This window comes from Homo sapiens, chromosome 1 (genome assembly GCF_000001405.40).
Source record: "Homo sapiens chromosome 1, GRCh38.p14 Primary Assembly".
Taxonomy (NCBI): Eukaryota; Metazoa; Chordata; class Mammalia; order Primates; family Hominidae; genus Homo; species Homo sapiens.
The window spans coordinates 9,348,657-9,375,645 of NC_000001.11; the positions used below are offsets into that span (position 1 = coordinate 9,348,657).

A 26,989-nucleotide genomic window follows, 5' to 3' on the forward strand; every position below is an offset into this window, starting at 1 on the left:
CTACTAAGATCTGGGGCCCCCAGCAAATCCAAAGATGGCCTTTTTCCTGGACCCAGACAACCTTAAATGGCTGTTCGAAGCTGGCCGAGGGAGTACGGGGCTTTCAGAAGCTCATCTGCTTAGAGCCCAGGCTGCCACCGAGAAATCCAGTAGGGTCACGCGGCTCTGATGGGTGTTTGGAACCCCAACCCACCCCGTCCCATGGCTGCTCTGGAAACACTGGGTTGAGGGCTTTTGCCGTCAAAGGATGTAAGGGACATCCCCTTTCACTCGTGCAAGAATGTGTGTGTGTGTGTGTGTGTGTGTGTATATGTGCGTGTGTGCACGTGCATGTGTGTGTGTAGTGGTGGGGTATTCCTCCCACTGGGAGAAGAAGTTCACTGAAGCCAAACCCCAGGGCTTCGTGTCATCTGGTGTCCCCGCAGGTAGCCCCTCCCCCTCCTCCAGAGCTTTTAATGGCCTTCACTGTGTTGTAGGAAAGGCAGAATCTCCTCCAGGGTGTGTATCCCTCTGCAGGGGAAGCCAAGGTGACTCCAGGGCCCGTGGCTGCTCTCCGGCTCTGAGGGTCCGGGCCATGGTTCCTGCCTGCATCCCGTTTTTCGCTCCTCTCTGCTTCCCCGAGCCCAGCCCTCCCGTGCATGAGACAGACGCTCCCGCCACGTGCTCGACTTTGATATTGGTGACGTGTCCTCTCCCTTTATCCCCCACCTGCTTGTGGCACGATGGGGCCAGAGCTGTGCCGGGCCAGGAGTGGGGGTAGGTGAGTGTGGGGTCAGGGGGCTGTCCCAGCTGAGCTCAACCAGAGAGGCCAAGGGACGTGGAGCGTGAGAGGCTGAGGCCTTGGCGCCAGCGCCGTAGATGCGTGTCAGATTTGACAGCTGATCTCTGACACAAGGCGTGCAGGAGCGTGGGTGGGTGGACGGCTTGCCTGCCTTCCTCAGGAGGAAGCTATCCACGGGACATGTCCTGAGCGAGTGTCAGGGAACTCGTGCCACACACAATCCGCCACCAGCATCGACTCTTCGATCCAGATGAGATGCAGCTGTCTTCCGTGACTCACGGCCTCTGGGCCAGTTGTGTGAGGAAGGTCCTTTCGGGAGTTCCCAACCCACCGTTTTATGGCTGTTTTTCTCTCTTGACCCTTCCTGATCTTTACTTTAATCTGATCTTACTTGTGGGAAAATGTTGCTAGGAGTTCCCAACCCAGAGTGACTGGTGAGCTCCCTGTCACCCATGAGGAGGACGGTCCTGCAGTTAGAGCTCCTGTACATACATATGCATACACACACACAGACACACGCCACACACGCAGACACAGGCAGACACGACACACGTGTACCTACATGCACACACAGCACATATATACACACATGAAGACACACCACACACATATACACACATCCAGACACACCACACACACAGATACATACACGCCTCACATATCTACACACACACACACACCCCTACCACCCGCACAGGTACACACACACATTCTTTCTCCTGGTTGAAATACCCTCACGGCATTTATGCCTGTGATGAGATTACAACCTGGTCTTCAGGAAGCACCAGACATTGGACCCCTGCGTGTGACAGCTGAGCCTTGCAGCCTGAGGGCTGCGGACAGGAGAACTGTCATTATTTAGAGTGAGTAGAGTTTGGTGGGGCAGGAGGGGTACAGGCCAGGCATTGGTTTGTTGTGGGGCTTGGCTGAGACAGCTGTGCAGAGGAGGAGGCAGGCGCGGTCCTGGGGACGTGGTGACTAATGCAAGAGTGTGCTTTTGGGGATGAAAACTTTCACTAAGGGAATGGAGAGCAGGCGCCGCCGGCCAGGGCACTGCCTGGACTATGACGCCTCTGTCCTGCTTGTTAGTCTCAGCTGCTGCCTTTGCTCTCACTGTGTAGGCACACAGTGTACACGTGTGTGCATGTGTGTGCATGTAGGCATGCGTGCATGCGTGTGTGTGGTGGGTGGCGGTGGCAGCAGCAGGGCCACATCTGTCCTCTGCTCTCCCGTTCCAGCCCTGCAGGGCAGTACGAGCCACGCCCTTTGCGTCTGCTCCTCCTGGGTGGGGATGAAGGCTGAGTCCTCCCACCTCCTGGAAACTCACCAACTGCTCAGCAGTCCCAGGCCCTGATGCTTCTGTGGCACTGCTGGGCCCCACAAGGCTTAGGCATCTGCATTTGCTTCTCAGAGCAGCAGTAAGTGGGGGTGGTCCCAGAGCTGTGCTGTTCTCCCAGCTCCTGCCTGAAGTGTAGTGCCCGGTGCTGGATGCCCTCCTGGCCCAGGGATGTCTGTCTTGGTCCAGTGTTAACAGGAGCCATCCAGGCACCTGTGAATGTTACTTGGTACCTGTGGGTGGTACACACCCCCTGTCCTGAGCGCCATGTCCAGGAATTGTGATGATGGTATTAGCAGTTTTGCATGGGGTCGGCAAACAACAGCTCCTGGGCCAAATCTGGCCCACTGTCTATTTTTGTAAATAAAGTTTTATTGAAACACATTCATGCCCATTGATTTACATATTGTCCGGAGAGCCTTAAGTAGTTACTATCTGGCCCCTGATGGAAGAAGTTTGCTGACCCCTGGTTTAGAAGGGACCTTAAACTTGATCTGCCCTAGCCCAGACTTCCAAGTCCTTGGGTCTTGGCCCAAAGGCAGCGTCCCTCTGTAGGGCCAGATGTGGTGACCAGGAAGACAGGAGAACAGTGATCTTTGATCAGTGAATGGAGCACAGGCTAGGAAATAAATGAAAGTGGAAATGCAATAACGCCAGCCCTCTCTGGAACACTGTCTCCACTGAGTTTTAGGTAAGTGTGTGACAGACAAACGAGCAGAAGCTTGGAGAAGCTCAGGGTGGATCTTGGTGGCCGGAGCTACTGTCTCGGCGCATGAGCTTGGAAGCTTCAGGAAGCAGGGCTGGGGAAGCACCCTCCAGGCTGCAGTTCCAGGGAAGGTGGCGAGTCCAGCTCCTGGGGACCCGCAGAAAGGGTGGATCTGTGCGGCCACATTTTAAAATAGAAGGAAGAGGACAGATGGATGGCTTCAGTGTTCCTGCACAGCAAGGAGGTGGCTAGGTGTGAACAAAAGGAAGTTGGGAAGGCACTGTCATCTTTAACCATAGCCTGGACACAGGGTGGGTGACAGATGAGTCAAGAGTAGCCCTAGGGCCACCACAGTGATTGACCACCTGGGAGGTGACTCAGATGGCAGAAGTGGCCGGGTGTGTGGGCCACATTCCCTGGCTAGGCCCTGGGGTGCCCTTGTGAAGGAATCACCCCACAGTGCTGCAGGCCCCTTTACCTGCCTGCCCTGCCCGGGGAAAACGCCCCACCCTCTTTCCCCAGCCTCCCTCCTCCCAGGCCCTCCCTCCCACAGACTCCCATCCCTCACAGCCATGTGGTCCAAGGCCTGGGCTGGGGTGAGGGGGTGGAGGGAAGGTGGGTGGAGGTGGAGGGGTTGTGGTTCAGGTTAGGTTTAGGGAGCTCAGCCCAGCATTGGTGTTAAGGACTTGCTAGGCCACCTGAGGTGCTGGCATCTCAGAACTAGGAGAGGTTGTGGAGCCGACCTGGACAGACAGACAGTGGATGTCCCACGTCAAGGTGAAGCCGTCCTTTCTGGTGGCTCTTTCTGGGACGGGGCTGGCCCAGCCTCTGGGGATCCCCCGCTCCCCACCATCCGGATAATGCCTGCTACAGCCCCACAAGGCTGTGTCTTAAGTGGAGACGATGCAGGGCCCTGTCTAAGCTCTGGCTGGCGGACCCCAGGCCAGCCTGTCCTTATAAATAAAGTTTTCTGGAACTCAGCCACGCGCGTTTATTTATGTCCCGTCTGTGGCTGCTTTTGTGCGACAACAGCAGAGACTGTCTGGCCCTCAAAGCCAGGCATTTACTATCGCGCCCATTTCAGAAAAAGCTGATCTCCGGTCTCGCTGAGACAGGCGTTCTGTGTGTTCAGTTCTGGGTTTATTAGCCTGAGAGCTCCCTCCTCCTCCCTCCTCTGCCTCCCCCTCCTTCCCCGTCCCTCCCTGTCTCACCCCACTTCACCCTTTCAGAGCAACCCTCTGAGGTGTTACTCTCCTCGCCTCTTCCCCCCTCAACCTCCCTGTTATGGTCCCTCCTGGCATTTTCAATTACCTGCTAGAGGACCTCTCCCCGCCACCTGTCTCTCCCACCCTCCCCTCCCTCCCCCAGCCTCCTCCTCACTCTTCCCACCTGCTCCCACACGTGGAGAGAGGGTGAATCTTCCATGACAGACGAGATCCCGGGAGAAAGGTCCTCCCTGCTGCCACAGTTGAGCGGCAGGGGGGCTGTGGAGGGGCTACGCTGCAGGAAGCGTGACATGAACTAACTCTCTTAGAAAGTAATTCCTGCCCCGTCCTCCCAGGGAGCTGACCTCTGTGCCCACAGGACCCTGCAAAATTGAGAATATGGAGAGGTTCCTGGGCACCAAGCTGGAGGGGGTGTCCAGACAGATGGGAGGGTGGTACTCTGCACCCCCGCTCCATGCAGCTCTGACCTCGAGAGCCGCCTCAGCCCGCCCGGCCCCTCGAGAGCCGCCTCGGCCCTCCCAGCCTTCCTACAGCTCAGAAAATGCTCCAGTGGAGGTTGGGGAAGAGGGGAATTCAGGGAAGGCCACACCCGCACCACACCAGACCCAGCTCTCTCCCCCTTCCCTCCCGCAGCTTGAGGCGCAGGCCCCAAAGCCACAGGGTGTCCCTCTGCAGCGCCATGGAGGGAGTCCTAGAGGTTTCAGTGGCTCCCAGGAGAGGAGATGGAACTAAAAGCTTGAAAATGGGATTTTCCTGGGAGATCATGGATGTGAGGTCACAGTATTCACAGAACTCTCTGGAACCAGGGCGGCCCTCTAGGCTGCAGAGGGGACACCTCAGCTCTGTAATGGCTTTGCAGACACTGGACACAAGGAGTCCTGCCCTGCTCTGAAGAGATGACCGTGCCCCTGAGATCAGAACCCTCTGTCTATGGCTGGGCGCAGTGGTTCCCACCTGTAATCCCAGCACTTGGCAGGCCGAGGTGGGTGAATCACCTGAGGTCAGGAGTTCGAGACCAGCCTGGACAACATGGTGAAACCCGGCCTCTACTAAATAGAAAAAATTAGCTGGGCGTGGTGGTGGGCGCCTGTAATCCCAGCTACTTGAGAGGCATAGGCAGGAGAATCGCTTGAACCCAGGAAGCGGAGGTTGCAGTGAGACGAGATAGCGCCATTGCACTCCAGCCTGGGCAACAAGAGCAAAACTCCATCTCAAAAAAAAAAAAAGGAACCCTGTGTCTCACATCAGAAAGGGGAGGGCGAGAAGCATGACCTGGCCCCTGAGATAAGGGGGTCGGGGCACCAAGTGTTCCCGCATGGGAAGGTTCTGCCAGGACCAAACTTCCTGGAGACCTGGCCGCCCCGGGAACAGGGTCTCGTGGGGCCTCTTCCCAGCTGAGAGGGAGCTCTAGGCCAGCCCCACTGCAGAGCCTGGCCCTGGCTGGCCCCATACTGAAGGGGGAGGCCAGCCCTCTGAGGTCCCTGGATTTCCGTGTGTCTGGGAGCCTGCAGCCTCCCCTACCCCGGGTTCCTTTGGGTTCTCTTTGTCTCCTTTACTCGGGCACCCTAGTAACAAGCGACCCAGCGTGACTCTCTCCCGGCAGCCAAGGCTCCAACAGCCTCCCGCCCAGGCGCCCCCACAGGCTCCTTTAGTTCCATTTCTTCAACGGGAGCCTGCCTTGCCCCTGGCCTAGTTGATCCTAGGAGCCTGACCCCAAACCAGGCTGCCCTCCTTGGCCTCTCTGGTCCCTTCCAGAGGCCAAGGAGGTTCTTGATGGCAGAAAGAAACTTCTCTCTTGAACGAGGCTCAAATCTTCTGCTGCCTTATCCTTCTCCTTGAATAGAACTCTTCCTGGCCAGCACTTTGGGAGGCCAAGCCGGGTGGATCACCTGAGGTCAGGAGTTCAAGACCAGCCTGGCCAACATGGTGAAACCCCGTCTCTACTAAAAATACAAAAATTAGCCAGGCATGGTGGTGGGTGCCTGTAATCGTAGCTGAGGCAGGAGAATCACCTGAACCCAGGAGGTGGAGGTTGCAGTGAGCCGAGATCACGCCACTGCACTCCAGCCTGGGCGACAGAGCAAGACTGCGTCTCAAAAAAAAAAAGAATTCTTCCTGGGCTACCAGTGGAGAGGGATCGGGTAGATGATGCAGTGAGATCTCTCCCCCAACCCAGAGTCCCTGTTCTCCCTCCTGAAGGACCCAGGGGATGGTGAGGCCAGAGAGGGAACGAGGCATCCTAGCATCGGACTTTCCTCCCCAGATGTGCTGTTGAGACCCAGAGGGCGAAACCCTGGCTTCTAGTTGAAGGGTGTGGGCAGGAAAAAGGTGGTTGGTCATCTAAGAAATCCCGGGGGTCGGGGGATGAGCCCCCCTTGCTGTCTGAATCGAGGCCTTCCCTTGAGAAGAATGTAGCTGGCGGAGGAGGCTCCTGGTGCCTTTCGTGCCAAGCGCACACAGACCCCTGAGTTGAGCTGTCCAGCTGCACCAGAAGGCCCTTTTCTGCAGTGAATTGGTGGTGCGTCTGCTGGAGGTAGCTGTGCCAGAGACAGGGAGGAGGAGCTGGGATTGGCATCCTCAGCAGCCTCTGCTGCTACCTGGGGCTCCACTTCCCCTCTGAACCGCAAGGCAAGGGCCATGCACCTCCCTCTGTTTTGACCAAGCAAATGCCCACTGTCATGGCTGAGTCCTGGTTCTGTGGCACCATGGCCTTCCGCCCTGTGGAACCCTGATGAGGTATTTGGTGGGCATCAGCCATGTGTCTGTACCCAACACAGATGAGGGTGATGCCCATCCCCCAAGCCCACCTCTCCACACAGTCGGCCGCGTGGACAGACAGACCCTTTCCTTTGTGACAGCTAGCCAGGGAACGGGGGATTTCATTCTGCGCCAAGGCTCCAGCCTGCCCGTGTCAGGCATGACAGAGCCCAGGTGCAGGCTGCTGGGACATGCTGATGTGGTCGCCTTGCCCTCCGGGTTAACTTTCCCCTTCATCCCACAGTCCTGCTCACCGGTTGTTTGTCTTTCCGTCCATTAGGCAATACTGAACACTGCGCAGCTTGCAGAGGTCTCCTGGCAGCCCTCATTAGGAATTCTGTCTGGCCCCGATCAGAATACTGGAGACGAGACCACGAGATTGATGAGTTTGCCTTGGGAGTCGGTAAGAAGGTGAAGCCAGGGGCGAACATGGGTCAGAAGGTCACTGGAGGGATCAAGACTGTGGACATGAGGGACCCCACGTACAGGCCCCTGAAGCAGGAGCTCCAGGGTCTGGATTACTGCAAGCCCACCCGGCTGGATCTGCTACTGGACATGCCCCCTGTGTCCTATGATGTCCAGCTGCTGCATTCATGGAACAACAACGACCGATCGCTCAATGTCTTTGTGAAGGAGGACGACAAGCTCATCTTTCACCGGCATCCGGTGGCCCAGAGCACGGACGCTATCAGGGGCAAAGTCGGGTATACCCGTGGGCTGCACGTGTGGCAGATCACGTGGGCCATGAGACAGCGGGGCACACACGCCGTGGTGGGGGTGGCGACGGCAGACGCCCCCCTGCACTCTGTCGGGTACACAACCCTCGTGGGGAATAACCACGAGTCCTGGGGCTGGGACTTGGGGCGCAACCGGCTCTACCACGATGGCAAGAACCAGCCAAGCAAAACATACCCAGCCTTTCTGGAACCAGATGAGACATTCATTGTCCCTGACTCCTTCCTGGTAGCCCTGGACATGGACGACGGGACTCTGAGCTTCATTGTGGATGGACAGTACATGGGAGTGGCTTTTCGGGGACTCAAGGGCAAAAAACTGTATCCTGTAGTGAGTGCCGTCTGGGGCCACTGTGAGATCCGAATGCGCTACTTGAACGGACTCGATCGTAAGTGTCTCCTCTGCTGTCAGAGGCAATGCCCTCCCTCAGTCCCCATGGTCCTGGCTGGGCTCAGGCCAAAAGTTGATTCATTGGAACTAGAGTGTTTTGAAGACGATATTCCAGTGTATTCAGACCCTCAGAGGCAACTTTTGCATCGGGTTAAGTGAGGAATTCTACCCAGAGTCAGCTAGATTACCTAACGGTGCCTCATGAATGAATGGACAGATGGATGGATGATGGATGATGAATGAATAGATGGATGAATGATTGGTTGGATGGATGGATGATGAATAGATGGATAGATGAGTGAATAATGGATGGATGCGTGTATAATGAATTGATGGATGAATGTTTGGATTGATAGATAAGTGGTTGAACAAACAGATGGATGGATGTGGGTGGATGGGTGGGTAGGGGGTGGATGAGTGTTTAGATTGATGGATGGATGAGTGGATGAACAAGTGGATGGATGAATGAGTGGATGGATAAATGAACGGATGGATGGGTGGGTGGATGGATGGATGGATGGATGAGTGGATGGATGGATGGATGAGTGGATGGATGGATGGGTGGATGGATGGGTGGATGGATGGGTGGATGGATGAGTGGATGGATGGATGGGTGGATGGATCAGTGAATGAATGGATGGATGGATGGATGGATAAATGAACAGGTGGATGAGTGGGTAGATGGATGGATGGATGGATGAGTGGGTGGATGGATCAGTGAATGGATGGATGAGTGGATGGATAAGCAGATAGACTAATGAATTGATGGATAAATGGATAGATGGATGAATTAATAAGTAGGTGGTCTTTGTTTCTCTGGGTGACCTGCCTCCAGGTTTGATCCTCAGTTGACCAAATTCTAGCCCAGTTGCCAGCATATCATCGAGCTGGGGTTTGTAACCTTGGGGATACTAGGGCCTCTCCGGTAAATGAATGCTAGTGACCTCTCTCACTCATTAGACAGGCTTAGAGTCTTTCTCTTCTGCCAGAGGCTTCTGAGTGGGCTCTGAGATACAGTCCTGAGGGACTTCTTCAGTCATGAAGTTGGGGAGGAGCATGCAGATCAGAAACAGACTGAGTCAACAGCGAACTCCACCTGTCCCTTTGGGAAGGGGAGTGGCCTTTCTCAGACTGTGAATGCAGCCCATGTGTAGGGGCACCGTGCTGGTGTGGGAGGTGAAGGCTCCATGGCTGCCCAGCTGGGAGTCCGTGGTAGCAGGAGGGCCTGGCGTTGCAGAACGGCTCACCCCGTGTACGGCCCTCTCTCAGAGTTCCTTGCCTGCATGAGTCCCTTCTACCGCCTGCAAGTCCCACGTTGGGAAGCAAGTGGGCTGGAAAGCTCCATCCACCCATGGGTTGACTGTCCTTAAAGGGCAGGTTCAGCTCAGCACCCTGAGCTCTAACCCCACCCTGCAGGCCAGGCAAGAGGCAGAGGGGGGTGAGGCCCCCCACCAGAGGTCAGGAATACAGATGCTGACTCTGTCTTGAAGTCTCCAAGCCTGCAGCTTCTCCTCCTGGAGAAGGAGGTCCTCCTCCTGCTCCTCCTCCCCCACGTCAGCCTTTGAAAGATACTGGGGAAAGTGTCGGGGTGGTTAGGCATGCGCAAACGCTTACACATTTCTCTTTGGAAGCCTCCCCGCCCCTCTTTCTCTTGGTCCTCTGCTGTGACTTTGACTGTGATGGCAGTGAGTTGACAGCCACACACGATGTCTGTGGTACAGGCTCCCAGGGCTGCTTGGTCCTCGTCTGTGCAGCCTGGCGCCCCCAGGTCATGGGACTCCTGGAAGAGGTGGGTGACCAGGCCTGCAGCCAGCAGGTAGCCTCCCCGGGGAAGTCACCTCGGAAATGGAACCAGCAGAGTGAGTTCTGTGTCTGTCTCCCTAGGTGTCAGAAATGAGTGGCACCACGTCCACAGCCAAATTTGCCTCAAACTGGGATGGCTGCAGATTGGGAGCCCTGGGCATATCCTGCCTAGGACCTAGAATCTTGAGGAGCCCTGACCCTCAGCCCTGCCTCCCTCCTCCCAGCCATGGGGTGGTCACGGAGCCAGGGAGGTTAATGTCCATTCTTTGCAGACAGACAGATGAGGGGACTGCCAGACCTGCTCTTGTTGCCTGCCCACTGAGACTGTGGGGCCCCATGAAGATTTCCAGCCCTGTGCCCTCCAGGAACATGCCCCCTGATGCTGTCATGAGCTCTGGGTTTGCACAGCTTCACGGTTATGTATCATAGCTCCAGTACAGTACACAGACCCCTGGAGTGGCTGGGAGGGGACTGGAGCCTATTTGAACAGAGGGTTCCGCCCACCCAGTCCTGGAGGTGCAGACACATGTCCTGTGAATAGGCGATTTCCTGCTTAGTTAGCTCTGCATGAGATGGGAGGTTGGATGCTTTCATAATTTTCCTTGTTTGGAAAATCCTGAAGATGTTGGGTGAGTGGGGAATACGAGAATGGGAATCAGGATTCGGGAACCGCATCTGTGAGCTGGAATCTAGATGGCCACTCAGAGCATCACAGCCGGGCGCTATTAGTCAGTGACGAGGATGCTTTTTCCTCTCCACCAGCATCAGATGCCCAGCAAGTCCTGGTCAGACATGAATGGGCCCTGGGCCACGTGGTCAGTTGACTTTAGAGGTTCCAGATTGGAAAATAGATGTGGTCGTTCTTGGGACACCGAGCAAAACATTGGAGGGTGGGGCACTGTCACAACTCCGCTGCAGCGTGGTGATAGGGTGAGGCGCGGGTGTTAGCGCTGCCAGCCTCAACCCGCTTAACCCGACACCTCTGGACGCTTATTGAGGCAGCATCTTGTGTCTTAGGAGTGTCGTTCTGCGGCTGGGCGCGGTGGCTCATGCCTGTAATCCCAGCACTTTGGGAGGCTGAGGCAGGTGGATCATGAGGTCAGTAGTTGGAGACCAGCCTGGCCAACATGGTGAAACCCCATTTCTATTAAAAATGCAAAAATTAGCCGGGCGTGGTGGCATGCACCTGTAATCCCAGCTACTTGGGAGGCTGAGGCAGGAGAATTGCTTGAACCCGGGAGGTGGAGGTTGCAGTGAGCTGAGATTGCACCACTGTACTCTAGCCTGGGCAACAGAGCAAGACTCCGTCTCTGGGAAAAAAAAAAAAAAAAGTATCATTCTGGCTGCTCTATAGAAATGGATGGCAGAGGCAAGAGTGGCCTCTGAGAGGCCAGGCCAGGGACGAGCCAGGCTTGTCCCGGTGAGAGGTGATGGGAGCTTGGGCCAGGATGGAAGCCGGGGGGGTGGGTGGCGGGGGCGGCCCGGTTCCGGGACTCTTTGGAATGGGCTCATCCATGGACCGGATGTGACGAGAAAGGGAAGCAGCAAGGTGACTTGCATTGTTTGGGTTGAGCAGGTGAAGGCGGGGGCTGCTGACCCGAGATGGGAAAGCCCAAAGGAGGAGCAGGTGTTAAATTTGAGACGCTTCTTCGACACATCCAGGGGGCCCTGCAAGCCTAGTCTCAGAGAGCGGTCAGTGGGGGAGTTGTCTGCACATAGGCGACTTCAGAGCTGCCACCCTGGGTGAGGTCACCAGAAGTAGGGGCTAGAGAGCGAGGAGAAGAGGGCTGAGGCTGAGCCCTGCTTAGAGGCCAGGAGGGTGGGGGCTGAAGGGACCCAGTAGATTTTGGTGTCCTGGATGCCAAGTGAGGAAGGGGCTTTCAGAAGGGCAAAGTAGCAGCAGGTCAAGTACATGGACGGCTGAGAACCGTCCATCAGCTTTGGCAACAAGGAATTGGCAGTTGACCTTGAGGAGAGTCACTTGGGTCAGGGGGCACGGGAGGAGCCTGATGGAGTGGCTGGAGGAAGACAGACAGGGTATTCGTCTCCTGGAGCTGCTGAACACATTACCACAAGCAGGACAGCTGAAAACAGCAGAAGCGCTCAGGAGGCCAGGTGTCTGCGATCAGGATGGTAGCGGGCTCGACTGCCTCCGAGCTCTGAGGGGGAGCCCGCCCCATGCCTCCCCTCGCCCCTGGGGGCTGCCGGGAATCCTTGGCGTCCCTTGGTCTGTAGATGCCTCCCTGAGTCCCAGCCTCTGTTTCCCCAGGGTGCTCCACCTGTGTATGTGTCTCTCCGTGGCCCCTCCTCTTCTTAGAGGGACACCAGCCATTGGATTCAGGGCCCACCCCAATCCACTATGCCCTCGTCATAATGAAGTACATCCGCAAGGCCCTGTTTCCAGATAAGGCTCCACTCTGAAGTTCTGGGCAAACATGAATTGGAGGACACTGGTCAACCCGCTTCAGATGTGGAGGCAGCCAGTGTAGACCATCTCCATGAGGCCTTCCTCTCCCTGTGCTGCCACCTGTGGGGGGTGAAAGATGAGCCCGGAGCTCCATCCTCTCACGTCACCCCTACCGATGCTGGGGTGCCCATAGTGAGGTCAGAGCCCACCCAAGTCCCCCGTCCCGGGAGAGTTGGCTTTGCCTTCCAATACAACTAAAGAAGGGGGGTGTCCTGGTGAGATCGAATCCCAGGGTCTGCCCGGGAGCAGAGCATGACAGATGGAGGCTCTGGCCAGGCATGGCTGGATCTGTCATTTTCTTTTTTTTTTTTTTTTTTTTTTTTTTTAGAGATGGGGTCTCACTATGTTGCCTAGGCTGGTCTCAAACTCCTGGGCTCCTAAGTGGTCCTCCTGCCTCGGTCTTCCAAAGTGCTAGGATTACAGGCGTGAGCCACCATGCCCAGCCGGATCTGTTTTCTTGGTGGCAGACCTGATCTGGGGCTTTGCTGTCTCTGTCTTGGAGGTGGAGGTAGTTCCACTCCCTGGGATATCTGGAGAATCATCAGTGTCCCCACCACCCCTGGATTCGACTTCCACGAGGGGCAGCTGTTTGTAGGGCAGCTCCAGCAGTTTGCCTGCGTGTGTGCCTTCCCGGGGGTCTCCCAGCCCACTGTCCCCTGTGGCCTCTTTCCTGCATGCCAGGCAGAACCCCCCCGCAGCAGAGTCCCGGCTTCTACACTGGGGCCGTGGCCGGGCGGAAGTAGGGGTACTGAGTTCTCGACGTTTCCCTGTGCGGCCTCCCCACTGTCCAGCCTGCTGGGGCCACAGGCCCCGTGCTCTGATTCCTCCTCAAGGCTCGAGGCACAAGGCCTTGTGCTGAGGATGCAGCCAGAGAGGCTGCTGTGTCACTCTCCCTCTCTCTCCTGGAGGGCAGGAGTGGAGATGGCCATTGCTGAGTGGGGAGACACAGGGCCTGGCCTGACCCCGGGCCTGCCCGCCACCCTCCCTGGAGATGTGGAAAGGCCTGTTTGCAAGCAGCAGGCTGGCAGGCTGTCCAGGGGGAGCCCCTGACCTTGTGGGTCCTCTGGCTCTACCCCCACTGCTTTAAAGACATCTCCCACTGAGGAGGCATCTTCCATGCAGTTCAGCATTTTCGAATTTTCTTTAACGGCTCCCAGATGGGTTTGGTGTGGTTTGTCGTGGTTGAAGGTTCAGGGAAGGTCAGCTCGTCTCCTCAAGATCAGAGCCTCCTCCCGGGTGCCTCCTTCCTGCACTCCACTCCAGCTGGACTCTGCCGGGAGCTACTCATCGGGAGACTGATACACCGCCACCAGGGCCACCCACCCTCCCTCCCTCCCTTCCTTCCTTCCTTCCATGTCGGGGAGGGGTTGTCCCAGACCCTATTCCCCACACCCTCCAGAAGTTCTGGTCATATGAGGACCGCAGGCTCTCAGAGTTTGGGGGGGATAGGGGACCAAGGGTGTCTGATCACCTAGGTGGATCTCAGGCGTCCTTCCCCAGTTGACAAGGACAAAGGCTCCACGTTGTGTTTGGCTGTGCTCTTTCGTAAGAACTGCGTAGTGTAGAGGAAAACACACACACATCCTATGATGGCCACCCGACCCGTGACATTCTAGAATCCATGTCCTGGAGCGTGGTCCCCACAAGCTGCTTGCAGGGCCAGCCACAGGAGCCATGACAGCTGTCAGCGAGGACATTGCGGAAGCCGGGGCATTCTCTGATGCGGAACATTTTTCCTTGACCTCACCGTTCTGCAGCTCGTTCACTCAGCCCGTGAACTGGGCACAGCACCACACTCTTGAGGCTTGAGTTGGGTTGAAATCTCTCGGGGAACAGTGAGACAGTTGTGGGTTGGGGCTCTGGGGCTGTGCATGTTCACGTGGGCCACCAGGTAGCCGTTTCTCACAGAAATGTGGAAGCTGGTGCACTGTCTCTTCCAGTTCCTCAGGCTTCTGCTCCCAGAAATAGCGCCTGATTGACTTCCTGATTTCTTTGCTGCTCATTCAGCATTGCACTCTCATTCACAGAAATTATTTAAATGAATGAGCGCCTAAGCTTCCTGGGGATGGGCATAGCAGCCAGAGGCCCCAGGCCACAGTGCAGGTGCCCACCCCCTCGGTAGATTTCAGCAGGCACCTGGGTTTGTGGCTGGAGCTGGGTGCAAAGCTGGCAGCCCCCAGTCAAGAGTGTGGAGGTTGGGGAGAACTCCCTGGTACTGGTAGTGACCAGCTGAAATGGGGGCTGGGCATTTTTTCACGGCACGAAGCCCACGTCTGTTTCTGTGGCCATGCATTCTTGGTCTCTGCCCAGCCTTTGGAAAGCAGTTAGACCGGGCCCTATGCGCCATCAGTTTCCTCCTGCAAGATCAAGGAGGCGTGACCTGTTTATGTACTTGAGGACCCAGAGAAGAGACCCATTCACAGGATGCCTGGGTGACTCTGGTCCTATTTTCAGCTCATAACACATCACTGCAGCCATTCACTGCCACTTCTCTAGCCCGTCTTGGTGGATCCCATGACCCATCCCTAACTGGTTTATTCAGTGAGATCCAGAGATGGCCAGGCTGTGGCAAGTCCTCTACCCCACACAGCTGCGTTCACAGGGGATGGATTGTGGCAGCTGGAGGGCCTCATCCCTTTGGAGTCCATGGCTCTCAGACCTTGGACCTGTAACTCTCACCTCCCCAAGCCCATTTCCCTATCTGTAGGTTGGGGTCACAGTCCCCATCAGGCACACGACTGGTGCCCCACAGGCCATGGCTGGGGCTGGGGCTGCGGTGTCAGCCACTCAAAATAAGGCACTGGATGGAGCTGGGGGCTCATGTGGGCCTCTGCAGTTTTAGAAAATTTTTTTTTTTTTGGAGATGGAGTCTCATTCTGTCACCCAGGCTGTAGTGCAGTGGCGCAATCTCAGCTCACTGCAAACCTCTGCCTCCCAGGTTCAAGCAATCCTCCTGCCTCAAACTCCCAAGTAGCTGGGACTACAGGCATGCACGACCACACCCAGCTAATTTTTGTATTTTTAATAGAGATGAGGTTTTGCCACACTGGCCAGGCTGGTCTCAAACTCCTGACCTCAGGTGATCACCCACCTCGGCCTCCCAAAGTGCTGGGATTACAGGCATAAGCCACCGCGTCCAGCCTAGAAACATTTCTTCATGGGTTGATTGGAAACCCGTTACACCAAGAGGGTAGTGACTGAACTCCCTCTCAGCCCTCACTGCTGCAGCCTGGCAGGGCTCTTGGGCCACATTCAGTGGCTCTTGGAGCTTTCTCAGGTGCTTTCCAGCCACGAGGGAGAGCCCCTCCACTTTCCGGCGGGGGCTGAGCCACATTCTCCCGGGAGGGAGCTCAGGGCAGCCCAGACCCCTTGGCCCTGATGCAGGCCAGATGCAGGCGCGCTCCCAAGCAGAGAAGAGAACACACCTGCAAATTCCCCACTCCTCTGTGCAGAAGACCTACTCCCGACAGCCAGGCCAGACCACAGGCTGCGATAAGCACTTCTGGCCTTCAGGATCTTGGCTGCATGGGACTTTGGGGAGAATCTGGTCTGGATTCCGTGTCTTACAGATGGGGAAACAAGTCCGGGCAGACGGAGGGATGTGCTCCAGGTCAGGCTGCGGGGCAGGGTCTGGAGTCACCAGGCTGGGTGTTTTACCCGAGGGAAACCCAACCCTGTGAGGAGCCGGGTGGGTGGAACCCAGTCCCACCCCATCACGAGGGGTCTGTGGGATCCTTGACCTTAAAGAACCCAAGGTTATTTCATTCCTCCATTCGTCTCCAATCAGAGCTCCTCTTAATCATCCTAAGCTGGCCACGAAAGGCCCCCTTTCAAAATTCTCCATTAAAAATACAGAACATTTCAGTTCCTTGTCAGGAGCTGTGGCTGTGACCGTCCATGGGGGATGAAGAGCAGTGGTCCCTCTTCTTTTGTTTATTTATTTTTTCAGTTTTGGGGTTTTTTTGTTGTTGTTTTGTTGTTGTTGTTGTCGTTGTTGTTGTTGGTTTTTCTGAGACAGAGTCTTGCTCCGTCACCCCAGGCTGGAGTGCGATGGTGTGATCTCGGGTCACTGCAACCTCCACCTCCCAGGTTCAAGTGATTCTCCTGCCTTAGCCTCCCGAGTAGCCGGGACTACAGGCCCATGCCACCATGCCTGGCTCATTTTTGTATACTAATTTTAGTAGAGATGAGGGTTCACCATGTTGGCCAGGCTGGTCTTGAACTCCTGCCCTCAGGTAATGCGCCGGCCTCGGCCTCCCGAAGTGCTGGGATTACAGGCGTGAGCCACCACACCTGGCCTGTTTTCATTTTTGAGACAAGGTCTCTGTTACGCAGGCTGGAATACAGTGGCACAATCACAGCTTACTGCAGCCTTGACCTCCTGGGCCCAACCGATCCTCTCGCCTCAGTCTCCCAAGTCCTGGCTGATTTTTATTTTTTGTAGCGATGAGGTCTCCCTATGTTGCTCAGGCTGGTCTCAAACTCCTGGGCTCAAGCAGTCTTCTGTCCTTGGCCTCCCAAAGTGCTGGGATTACAGGTATGAGCCACTGTGCCTGACCTGGTCCCTCTTCTTTTAAAGCTTGGGGTTTAGTAAATGCATTATCAAGCCTAAGGTCCATTCTTCTATTTTGTAACAGCTTTACTGAGCTATAATTCACATACCTTACAATTCACCCATTAAAGTATCCAATTCAGTGGCCTCTTGCGTGGTGAGATGTAGGAAACAATTTTAGAACATTTTCATCACCCCAAAAAGAAACCCTATACCCATAAGCAGCCTCTCTCCATTCTGCCATGCCCCACCCGTAGTGTTTGGTCTTCAGTAATTGATTTTCGTATATTTGAGACACATTGGTGAATATTAAAGAACTTTAATCCACTTTTTACTGGTAGGATGGAGTTTTGCGGGTTCCTTTTAGTTTTGGGGGCTATTTTGCTCACAAAGGAGTCTCAAAGTCAAGGGGAGACCGTGGATGAAGCCTCAGATCCATTAGTTTCAGGGCTTTCCATCTGCAGAACAGCGTGGGCGGCCCCACGAAGGTCCAGGTGTGCTCACTCCTACCTGGTTTCAGGAAAGAGAGCAAAGAGGGGTCTGCTCTGGCGAAGCGGGCGAGCAGGGCCGCGCAGCCTTCCAACGCTCAGAAGCCTTGGAAGGCATGAGTTTCAGACTCCTGAGATCTGAAGCTGACGGCTCATCTGAGATGCAGCTGAATGAACTCAGCCTCCTTTGTAGGAAGGCAAGGCTGGGCGCTCTGGGAACACAGGATGGAGGTGCCTGGGAGGCTGCAGCTGGAAGCGCTCTGTAACCCTGGGGCCTGAGGCAGCTCTGCCCAAGTTCCCCTGGCTGTGAGAGAGCCCCATGTGCCTGGGGCAGTTGCGGGGAGAAGGCCCAGGCAGCTCTGGGGGATCAGCTGAAACTGGGCTGGCATTTCCAGTTTCCTGGGGCCTGAGCTTGGCCTGGGCCCTCAGCCTCACTGTCAGACAGAAGCACAGACACCCGGGGTTTCTCTGTCTCCATGTGGCACAGAAATGACACCTTCAGGCCGTGGGGCCAGCCAGGCCTGTCACGTATGATTCAGGACAGGGTTTGCCATGTCTTCCTTTGCAGCATGGTTAGTGGCTAAGGGCATGGACGCTGGGCCCAGGCTGCCTGGATTCAGATCCCAGCCCTGAACCTTGGCACACTGGGTGTCCCCTCTGTGCCTGTGTGTCCTCAGTTCTTTTTTTTTTTTTTTTGGACCGAGTCTTGCTCTGTCGCCCAGCTAGAGTGCAGTGGCGTGATCTCAGCCCACTGCAACCTCCATCTCCCAGGTTCAAGCGATTCTCCTGCCTCAGACTCCTGAGTAGCTGGGATTACAGGCACACACCACCACGCCCAACTAATTTTTGTATTTTTAGTAGAGACGGGGTTTCACCATGTTGGCCAGGCTGGTCTTGAACTCCTGGCCTCAAATGATCCACCCACCTTGGCCTCCCAAAATGCTGGGATTACCAGCGTGAACCACCATGCCCAGCTAGTCTTCAGCTTTAAAACAGAGGTGAGAATGGTATCTGAGAGCAGCTGGTAACAGAAAATGATTCCCTTCCTGAAGCTAGTGCTGGGGGTGCGTGCCAGGAAGAGCTGGCTCCCATGTGTTCCGACCGACAGGCCCCAATGGCAGCTGCTTGCCTGGACAGGCAGAGTCACCAGTGGGGAAGAGCAGGGATCGCCTGGGTTCGAATCCTAGCTGCATCTCCTGCCAGCAGGGCGACCCCTGGCAAGTCATTTAGACTCTGTCCCTCAGTTTCCTCATCTGTAAAATGGGGATGAAGGTAATGGTGTCTCTGTGACTATTAAGTCATTCATAAGAAACCACTGTGAGGATTAAATGAGTGTTAGCAGAGGGCTCGCCCAGGTGCCCAGCCCAGGGTGGGCTCCTGGTGGCAGCTATTCACATGCTAAATTTAAAATGAAAAAGCATTGCATTTTTCATTGTTTCTTTACTGATTTGAGTGAATACTAATCAGTGATAATATTGCTGCTGTGGTTAGCGCTGTTTGCTGAACACCCACCCAAGCTGCGCTGACCTGCAGTTTCTCTGTCTCCCCAGCCGAGCCGCTGCCGCTCATGGATTTGTGCCGTCGCTCGGTGCGCCTGGCCCTGGGGAGGGAGCGCCTGGGGGAGATCCACACGCTGCCGCTGCCGGCTTCCCTCAAGGCCTACCTCCTCTACCAGTGACGTTCGCCATCATACCGCCAGCGCGACAGCCACCTGGTGCCAACTCACTGAGCCGCCTGCCGCTGGGGCCGCCGCACCCTGCACCTTGGACCGGCATCCGTAGCCATGGACAGAGGTCCCTGGTCTTCCCTCATCCTCCGTGGCTGCCTCCATGGGACAAGGACCGATTCCAACACAGGCTCCTCTTTCCCCCTTCCCGACATCAGCAGAAGGCAGCATCCCTGCATGCCGTCCGTATACAACCCCTCTTTGAAAAAAGACACAGAGAATAAACTCCTACGAAAGCCCTACATTGAGCTCCAATCTGCTCGGGGTGGGACGGGTGCTTCCCACACCTCTGGGAGAAGGCTGCAGCCACCTGGGGGTCCCAGGGTGGTGGGGGTGGCAGGTGGTACCACAGCTCTGAGAGCAGATACCAGGGGTACTAAGAGGTGCTTAGACAAGGGCTGGTGCCCGGCCCAGGGTGCCCAGCGGGGCCATGCCATGGCAGATAAAGCTCAGGACGTCAAAAACTCACCATGGACCCCAAGGCAGAAACCAAGAACTGTCTGCAGGCAAATAAGCACCCAGCACCCATCCTGGCTGCCGGTGCCCCGTACCCTGTATTTATTCTTTTAACAATAACAAAAGCCATTTATTTATTCCATCTAGAAAGGAAACCCTGTTTCAGTCCCCTCTCTCTGGCTGTTCTGTTACTTTCCTTCCACCTGTGCCCTCCCTGGGATATGTATGCCTCGCCCGCCCTCCCTGGGCACATGTGCACACGTGCCCAGGCACAAGTATGTCTCTGGGTCCCTTGCCCTGCAGTTTCCAGGGGGCTCTGCTCCAAGTTCCCTAGCGGGCCCCTCAGGGAGAAATAGCCTCACGTGCAATCTGGGTGTCTTCGGGGGCCCGTCTGGAAGGGCTGCAGCAATTCCCCTGTGTCTCCAGGTAACCAGCTAACTCTTGGGCTCAGGCACCCTTGCACAGGGTTGCATTTCTTTAGTCTTCTGTGGGTCTTTTGATGTGGGTTTGATTTTGCTTTTGCTTTTCTAGCTGAGATTTCCCAAGTGCATCCTCAGAAGCTCTGGGTGTGCCAGAGGACCCCCAGAACTAAGAAGGGAGGGCGAGTGGGTCTCCATTCCCCGAGAAGCCGGGGGCAGGGTGGGATGGGGAAGACCAGGAGCAGAGTCGAGCCTCACAGAAGCCAGCGCGGGTCTCTGCTCAGCACCCCAGCCGGGGCTCTGGACCCAGGGTAACAGCCCCAGTTCATCCCAACCCCTCTCAGAGCCTCAAGAGGGGTAGCTCGGCTGCCGGAAGAGAGGGGTGCCCTATCCCTGGCAACCCCTCCACGTAGCGTACCCCAGCACCTGCCACCGCCTTTGCCATTTCTTTGAGCTTGAAGTTAACTCTCTTAGAGTCTAACTTTGGTTCATTTCTGCACAGGTACAATAGATGACTTTATTTGTTTAAAATGTTTAATATATATACATACATATATATATATTTGTCTGTAAGAATTATGTTTTAAACAGCTGCTGTAGAGTACCTTTTTTTAAGTAAATCTTACAGTGGAGTATATTTTTTAAAGCACAAAATTGGTGCCAAGACTGGGTGAGAAATGTACATTACCCCCTTATTATTTTGACGGTTTTTTTTTTCGGGGCAGGGGACCTTACCTGTAAGACTTTTAAAGATTTTCCTCCCTCCTGTTTCAGGTGGGTCACATTCTGATGAATGTTTCCCTTGTACAGATCCCAGCTTATGGCCTTGACCCAGCCGTCCTCACAGATGCCGGGTGACCCTCTAGCTCTCTCTGCATCTCCCACCCCCCGACACCCTGGGACCCTCGACCCCACCCTTCTTTCCTACCAGCCCAGAGCCTTGTGGCTTGTACAGTTTTGAAACTCCCGTTCTATTTTATGATGGTTGATAATAGTCAGTAACCTAATAAAGGAACGTTTGTTAAAATATCAAACCATTTTTGAATTCCTCGTTTGTGCCTCGGGGGAGGGGAAAGAGACATAGCTGACCCCTCCTGGGTCCAGCCAGCTCCACGGCCCACAGTTTTCAGCAGATGATGGGCTGACTCCCTACCACCCCTTGGCAGAGGGTGGGATGCCAGGCAAAGCCCCAGACAGAGAAGGAGAAGGAGAGTCCTGGAGGGAGGACCCCAGAACAGCCTCATCCCCATTTCAGAAGTTCCTCAGCCTGGCAGCCCAAGCTGCAGAAACTTGCCAAGTCTAACAGACAGTGATTCTGTGCCTTCGTGAGCGCATCAGGTTGGTTTGTGGGGTTGTAGAACTTGAGTTGACCGTGGGCTTTTTAGGAGCAGAGTGTGAGCCATTGTGGGCGTCCTCAGAGTCCAGGCTCTAGGGGAAGGAGCAGGTCCTTCATTCGTCTTTGTGTCCCCTGGGGCTGAGTGCACGGTGATGTTTGCTGAACTGTTGCAGAGTGAACTTGTTCTGCTAGCCATGTGGGCAGAGCCCCCGACAGAAAGGACAGGAAACTCTGGCTTATTTAGGGGATCAATGGGTGATAAAATGACAGTCAAGAAATTTACTAAGATGTGATCACGTGTCACGGCTAGTTTCCAAAGAATTAGCAAGAGCACATTAAGCTTGCGGTGGGGACGCTTCATTCTGAAGGCGTGTTGGGACCTGATAGTGCCGTGAAAAGTGCCTGGCCTGAGGGCCCAAGATCCCTGGGCCCAAAGACCCATGTTCCTTTCTCTAAGAGCCTCCTGACCAGCTATCCTCAGACCACACACATCAGCAGCATCTGGGAGGGGGGTTGTGAAAATGCAGATTCCAGGGCCCCACCTGAGATGTACCAAGTCAACACTTCTAGGGCCAGGCCCAGGAATATGCATTTCCTCAACTCCCTAGGTGACCTTGCCTAAGAGAGTTTGCACACCACTATTTGTGACAGTGTCAGCTGTTTTGCAAAGTTGCTGGGTAGAGGGAAATTATTCCATGGTGTCGGTGGGTTGGCCCAATGAGGAGCGCATGCGCTCCTGAGTCAGACCTGGATTCAAATACTGGCTTTGTGGCCTTGGACGAGCCTCCGGAAAACAGCAGTCACTGTAGTGTAGTACCTATCTCACAGGAGGATAGCAAGGGTAAGATGAGGCTTTCCGAACAGGACCTGGAGTCTTAGCGAGTGTGCAAACAAATGCTTTAAAAGCTCCTGCATTTCTGGAAAATGGCAGTTTCTGGGTTGCGACTTTGTCTCTAAGAATGGACCAGATGCTCGGGCGCGGTGGCTCACGCCTGTAATCCCAGCACTTTGGGAGGCCGAGGCGGGCGGATCACAAGGTCAAGAGATCGAGACCATCCTGGCCAACATGGTGAAACCCCATCTCTACTAAAAATACAAAAATTAGCTGGGCATGGTGGTGCGTGCCTGTAGTCCCAGCTGCTCAGGAGGCTAAGGCAGGAGAATGGCATGAACCTGAGAGGCGGAGGCTGCAGTGAGCCGAGATCGCACCACTGCACTCCAGCCTGGGCTACAGAGCGAGACTCTGTCCCCTCCAAAAAAAGAATGGACCAGACATTCCTAAACCAACTTCCTGATAATGATCTTCCTTCCCAGGTAAAGTCTCCAAAGGTCAAGGTGGGTATTGGGAAGAGGGTCCCCTAGATGCCTTTCCCAGATGCGGTTGGATGAAAGGGGTGGTGTAAAATGATTTTCAGGTTGGAGTTCATGTCTGGGTTGCAGTTGGAACTCCGCTTCCTTTGAAGGGGGCAGCAGGGGAGGAGTGGGGTTGGGGTCAGGCGCTGGGGGCGGGGGGAGGCACAGGGAAAAATCAGGGCCCTTGTGCTGCCAGGAGACTTCTCGGGGAGTAGGGTTTTGTGCCGAAGGGAGTGGGATTAATAAAACCATCTGTGCAGACTTGGCCCATGTGGTTGTAATTAATCCCCTGCCTTCAAGCAGGTAGCAGACTCTCAGGGCTTGGCCATAGATGGGAAGAGTCCTCCCGTCCCCACCCTTCAGCACGAAGCTTCCCTCCCGCCTTCTCCGCTCCTCGACGAGATGAGGAATGTGGAATTTACTGAACCATAAACTATGCCGGGGGAGCTGGGGAGGGGGCCGAAGACAGAGCAATTAGTTCATGCTCCAGTCCAGACACCCAAACATGGTTGGATTCCAGCTGCAAGGAATATTTGAAATAAATGAGCTGCCCAGGGCCAGGAGTTTGCTGTGTTTTCTGTATGGGGCCATGGCAACCAGGGAGGAAATCGTGAGCTAGGGACTGGGCTCTAGAGTCAACAAATGATGTCCTGGCCCAGCAAATGCAGAGGAAGCCGCTCATGGCTCTCCTCGGGTTTCTTGAGACTCAGCTGCTGGCAGGCAGGACTCGGGCCGACCATCTCCCTGGTGCACTCAGACCGTGGTGTTCTCTCCTGGGTTCTGATTTTTTTTTTTTTTTTTGGTAAGAAAAGAGAAAACTAACTCTTCTCTGGAACCTTTCTTCCTGGGCCAGAGAACAGCTGCTGCTGTTGCTGCCGGGCTGATAATGATTTTCCTGGGTAGAGGAATATTCTCCGTGGAAAAGCTCAGGCTGAGGGCAGCTAGCTAGACAGAGGTGGCACTGACCTTGTGCAGGGTTTGTCTTCCTGCCCCACCCCAATTGCAGCCTCTACTGGGTCTGCTTTATAGGCAGGAAAGGCAAAGGTCTCCTCCAGCTCCCTTCCCTGGTGGCGTTTGGGGGTGAACCTTACAGCTGTCCCCAAAGATGTGTCTTACAAGTGCATGTGAGTACCAGGACCGAATCGGGGATTTCACCCTGAAGTTCACAGATGCTCCCTGCATCTGAATCGCCCGGAGGAACCTAGGGGAGGAAAGCAAAATCCTGGTAAGCTTGATATGCAATAGGATGGGCCTGCGAATAGGCATCTTCGAACACCCATAGATGACGCAGATAACATTGTCCTGAAGGTTGCTGGGGTCCCAGCGTTACATGCAGAGTTGCGTCCATGCAGAGTTGCATGCAGTTACATGCAGAGCTGCACCTATGCAGACCTCTCTGCTGTATCCCCATGGTCCTTCAGAGCCCTGCCAGGGGCTGAGACCCACAGAAGCTTGGAGACCACGGGTATAGAAGATTCTGTTCGCGTGGCCCTCCCAGCTCTCTCTGCTCTGTGTCTCAGAGCACAGGCAGTCCCCGAGCTGCCGATCAAGGCATCAACGCCAGGCACAAAAACTTCTCACCCAGGCACAAAAGTGCTCATCTTAGGAATGAACAAAGTCGGTCCAAGGGAGAAATACTGGAGTCCAGGCAGGGAAACCTTGAGGGCTATCCTTCAGCCTCAGTTTCCCTAAGGAAATTAGACCCTGGAAAGCTGAACCAGGAGCTTGGAGACAACATTCGGGTCTACAAGCCACGGCCCATGCAAGACCCTTCCAGCAGGGCTATCCCCATGGGAGCTGCTCATGGGTATTTCCCACAACCTCAGCACAGCATGTAGGGACAAGGGCCTCATCAACCCAGGACTGTGCCTCTCAGAGCATGTCTTCCTCTCTCTTTACAGCCTAAGAAGCAAACATTTTAATCCCTCTCCCACCTACATCCCTGGGCCCTACCTTTCGAAAGATGTTCAGCTTTGCCAGTGATTTCTGTTCAGCAAAGTGGGGCCGCCAGGGTTTCTGATGTCCACAGGTGGAATCAACTCCAGTGGAAAAGGAACCTCACCTTCCAGGCTGGCCATGTGTGGAGGCTGAGTGACTGGGGAGAAGGGGCCTGGCTTCAGGACTGACGCCTGGCTTCCCACTTCCTGTCCAGGATGGTAGCTTTAAAGCCTGGAGCCTTGGCGTCTCCATCTGTGAAATGGGAACAGCACTTGCCTCCCAGCGGGGCCACTGAGACCCACATGCTTAGGGCTGGGCACATCAGGGCCTGAGCCCAGGGTACTCCTATCTCACCCTTTTATTTGTAATTAAGGTGAAATTCACATAACATCAAATTCACTGTTCTAAAGTATGCACATCAGTGTGGCGTGTAGTACATTCGCAATATTGTACACCTGTCACTTCTGTCTAGTTCAAAACATTATCATCACCCCCAATGGGGACCTCACACCCATTAGGCAGCCACTACCCATTCCCCTCCCCCAGCCCCTGGCAACCACTAATCTACTTTCTGTCTCGATTTGCCTATTCTGGACATTTCTTATCAATGGTCTCAAACAATAGGTGACCCTCTGTGTCTGGCGTCTTTCATTTCCAATTGGCTTTTTAAGGAGCTACTCCCTGGCCCCTCCCCCATGACTTCCCTGTGTCTTTGTTTCCTTATTTCATCATATGGGAGAACATTTCCTCTTCTTAGGGTTATTGTGAGAATTAAGTGAGCCATGTCTGTAAAGTGCTTAGAAGCTGGTCGCTGGTCTGGTCGCAGGAAGCAATCAATAAACATAGCTAGTATAATTACTCCTCCACCCCCCAGGGCACCCAGAGACCCTTGTTTATGCTCCTAAACTCACCGAAGTCACCTAGTCCATGAATGACCCTTTCCTAGAGGGCAACTTGCAGGGAAATTGCCTGAGCCCAGGGGCCTCAGTTTATCAGATCCAGTTTTCTAAAAATCAGTCTGGTCACCAGGGCTAACAGAGAGTTGGGTGGTTAAGAGCTCTGTGGCCTCGTGCAGCTCCTCTGATCCCTAGTTTCAAAATTATATTTGTTTCCTGGGGCTGCTATAACCAAGTACCACACACTGGGTGACTTAAAACAATGCACGTTTATTCTGTCCCAGCTGTGGAGGCTGGAAGTCCAAAATCAAGGCGTGGGCAGGGCTGCACTCCCTCCAGAAGTTCTAGAAAAAGATCTGGCCTATGGCCAGGCGCAGTGGCTCACACCTGTAATCCCAGCACTTTGGGAGGCCGAGTTGGGTGGATCACTTGAGGCTGGGAGCTCGAGACCAACCTGGCCAACATGGCGAAGCCTCGTCTCTGTTAAAAATACAAAAACTTAGCTAAAAATACAAAAAAATAGCCAGGTGTGGTGGCGTGCGCCTGTAATCCCAGCCATTCGGGAGGCTAAGGCACAAGAATCACTTGAACCTGGGAGGCAGAGGTTTCAGTGAGCCGAGACTGCACCACTGCACTCCAGCCCGGGCAACAGAGTGAGACTCTGTCTCAAAATAATCATAATAATAACAATAAATGTGATTTAAAAAGAAAAAAGAAGATCCATCCTGGCCTCTTCCAGCTTCCCGCAGCTTCTGACTGCATGGCTTGTGGCTTGTGGCTGCATGGCTCCAATCTCTGCCTCTATCTTCTCATGGCCTCCTCCCCTCTGTGCCTCTGTCTGTCTTGTAAGAACACGTGTCATTGGATTTAGGGCCCACCCAGATAATCCGGGATGATCTCATCTCAAGATTCTTAAATCAGTGACATCTGCTAAAACCCTTTCCCCAAATAAGGTCACATTCACAGTTTTCAGGATTAGGACAAGACATACCTGTGGAGTCCTAATTAGGGAAAAGGAGTCAGGCTGGCGGGACCAAGGGGAAGCAAGATGAGAAAGCAGATAAGCTGTAAATCTGCCTTTCTTCATGGTCCAGGACACAGCGCCCTCCTGCACAAATAACTCTCAATCTTCCCGTGCCCAACTATCACCAGACCCTCAGCTGATAGGAAAACACATGTTAGCTCACTGCAACCTTGGCATGTAAGTACTTCACAAAGCCCTCTTCAGCACATGGCACAAGCACCATCCTGTAAAATCCCAGCAAGCCTTTGTCTCATTGCAATCAACATCTCTCTTGCTGATCTGCACCCTTGCAACGTATTTCCATATTTTCTCTAATAAATTTGCCTTTCTTTACCTACAATTGTCTTGGTAAATTCTTCTTACCCCCATGCCACTGACTAGGGGAGCCACCATGCAACCCTCCACACACACCTTCAGGGCAGAGTGCGTAATAGTACCCACTCCTGGAGTGGCCATGAAGACCGATGAAACCAAGCAGGTAGAAAAGAGCTCAGCACCAGGCCGATGGTGGGTGCTGCCCAACAGGCCATGACTCCCATCCTTATTCGTGACATGCCATCTGCCTCCTGTCCTGGCCTCTTGCAGCCAGTCCCCTGAGAC

General features: G+C 54.7%; 1 protein-coding gene across 1 annotated transcript in view, besides 4 other annotated features; it reads left to right on the forward strand.

Annotated features, from left to right (window-relative positions):
• SPSB1 (splA/ryanodine receptor domain and SOCS box containing 1) overlaps positions 1 to 20,876 on the forward strand; it is a 76,639-nt gene extending 55,763 nt beyond the window's left edge. The window contains exons 2-3 of the mRNA NM_025106.4: positions 7,087 to 7,929; positions 18,792 to 20,876. Of these exons, the coding sequence (NP_079382.2) occupies positions 7,236 to 7,929; positions 18,792 to 18,919 (822 nt within the window). The 5' untranslated portion in view covers positions 7,087 to 7,235 and the 3' untranslated portion in view covers positions 18,920 to 20,876. The remainder of the gene's footprint in view (positions 1 to 7,086; positions 7,930 to 18,791) is intronic.
• Positions 1,486 to 1,987: an enhancer, noted in NCBI's record as "H3K4me1 hESC enhancer chr1:9410201-9410702 (GRCh37/hg19 assembly coordinates)". NCBI's record gives its function as "activates a minimal SCP1, AML or CMV promoter by ChIP-STARR-seq in primed H9 embryonic stem cells {active_cell/tissue: H9 hESC(primed)}" and the evidence as "EXISTENCE:reporter gene assay evidence [ECO:0000049][PMID:30033119]".
• Positions 1,988 to 2,487: an enhancer, noted in NCBI's record as "H3K4me1 hESC enhancer chr1:9410703-9411202 (GRCh37/hg19 assembly coordinates)". NCBI's record gives its function as "activates a minimal SCP1, AML or CMV promoter by ChIP-STARR-seq in primed H9 embryonic stem cells {active_cell/tissue: H9 hESC(primed)}" and the evidence as "EXISTENCE:reporter gene assay evidence [ECO:0000049][PMID:30033119]".
• Positions 4,062 to 4,977: an enhancer, noted in NCBI's record as "H3K4me1 hESC enhancer chr1:9412777-9413692 (GRCh37/hg19 assembly coordinates)". NCBI's record gives its function as "activates a minimal SCP1, AML or CMV promoter by ChIP-STARR-seq in naive H9 embryonic stem cells {active_cell/tissue: H9 hESC(naive)}" and the evidence as "EXISTENCE:reporter gene assay evidence [ECO:0000049][PMID:30033119]".
• Positions 22,412 to 24,119: an enhancer, noted in NCBI's record as "VISTA enhancer hs1615". NCBI's record gives its function as "enhancer in: somite[4/7] | forebrain[5/7] | branchial arch[6/7] | nose[6/7] | facial mesenchyme[6/7]" and the evidence as "EXISTENCE:transgenic organism evidence [ECO:0001131][PMID:17130149]".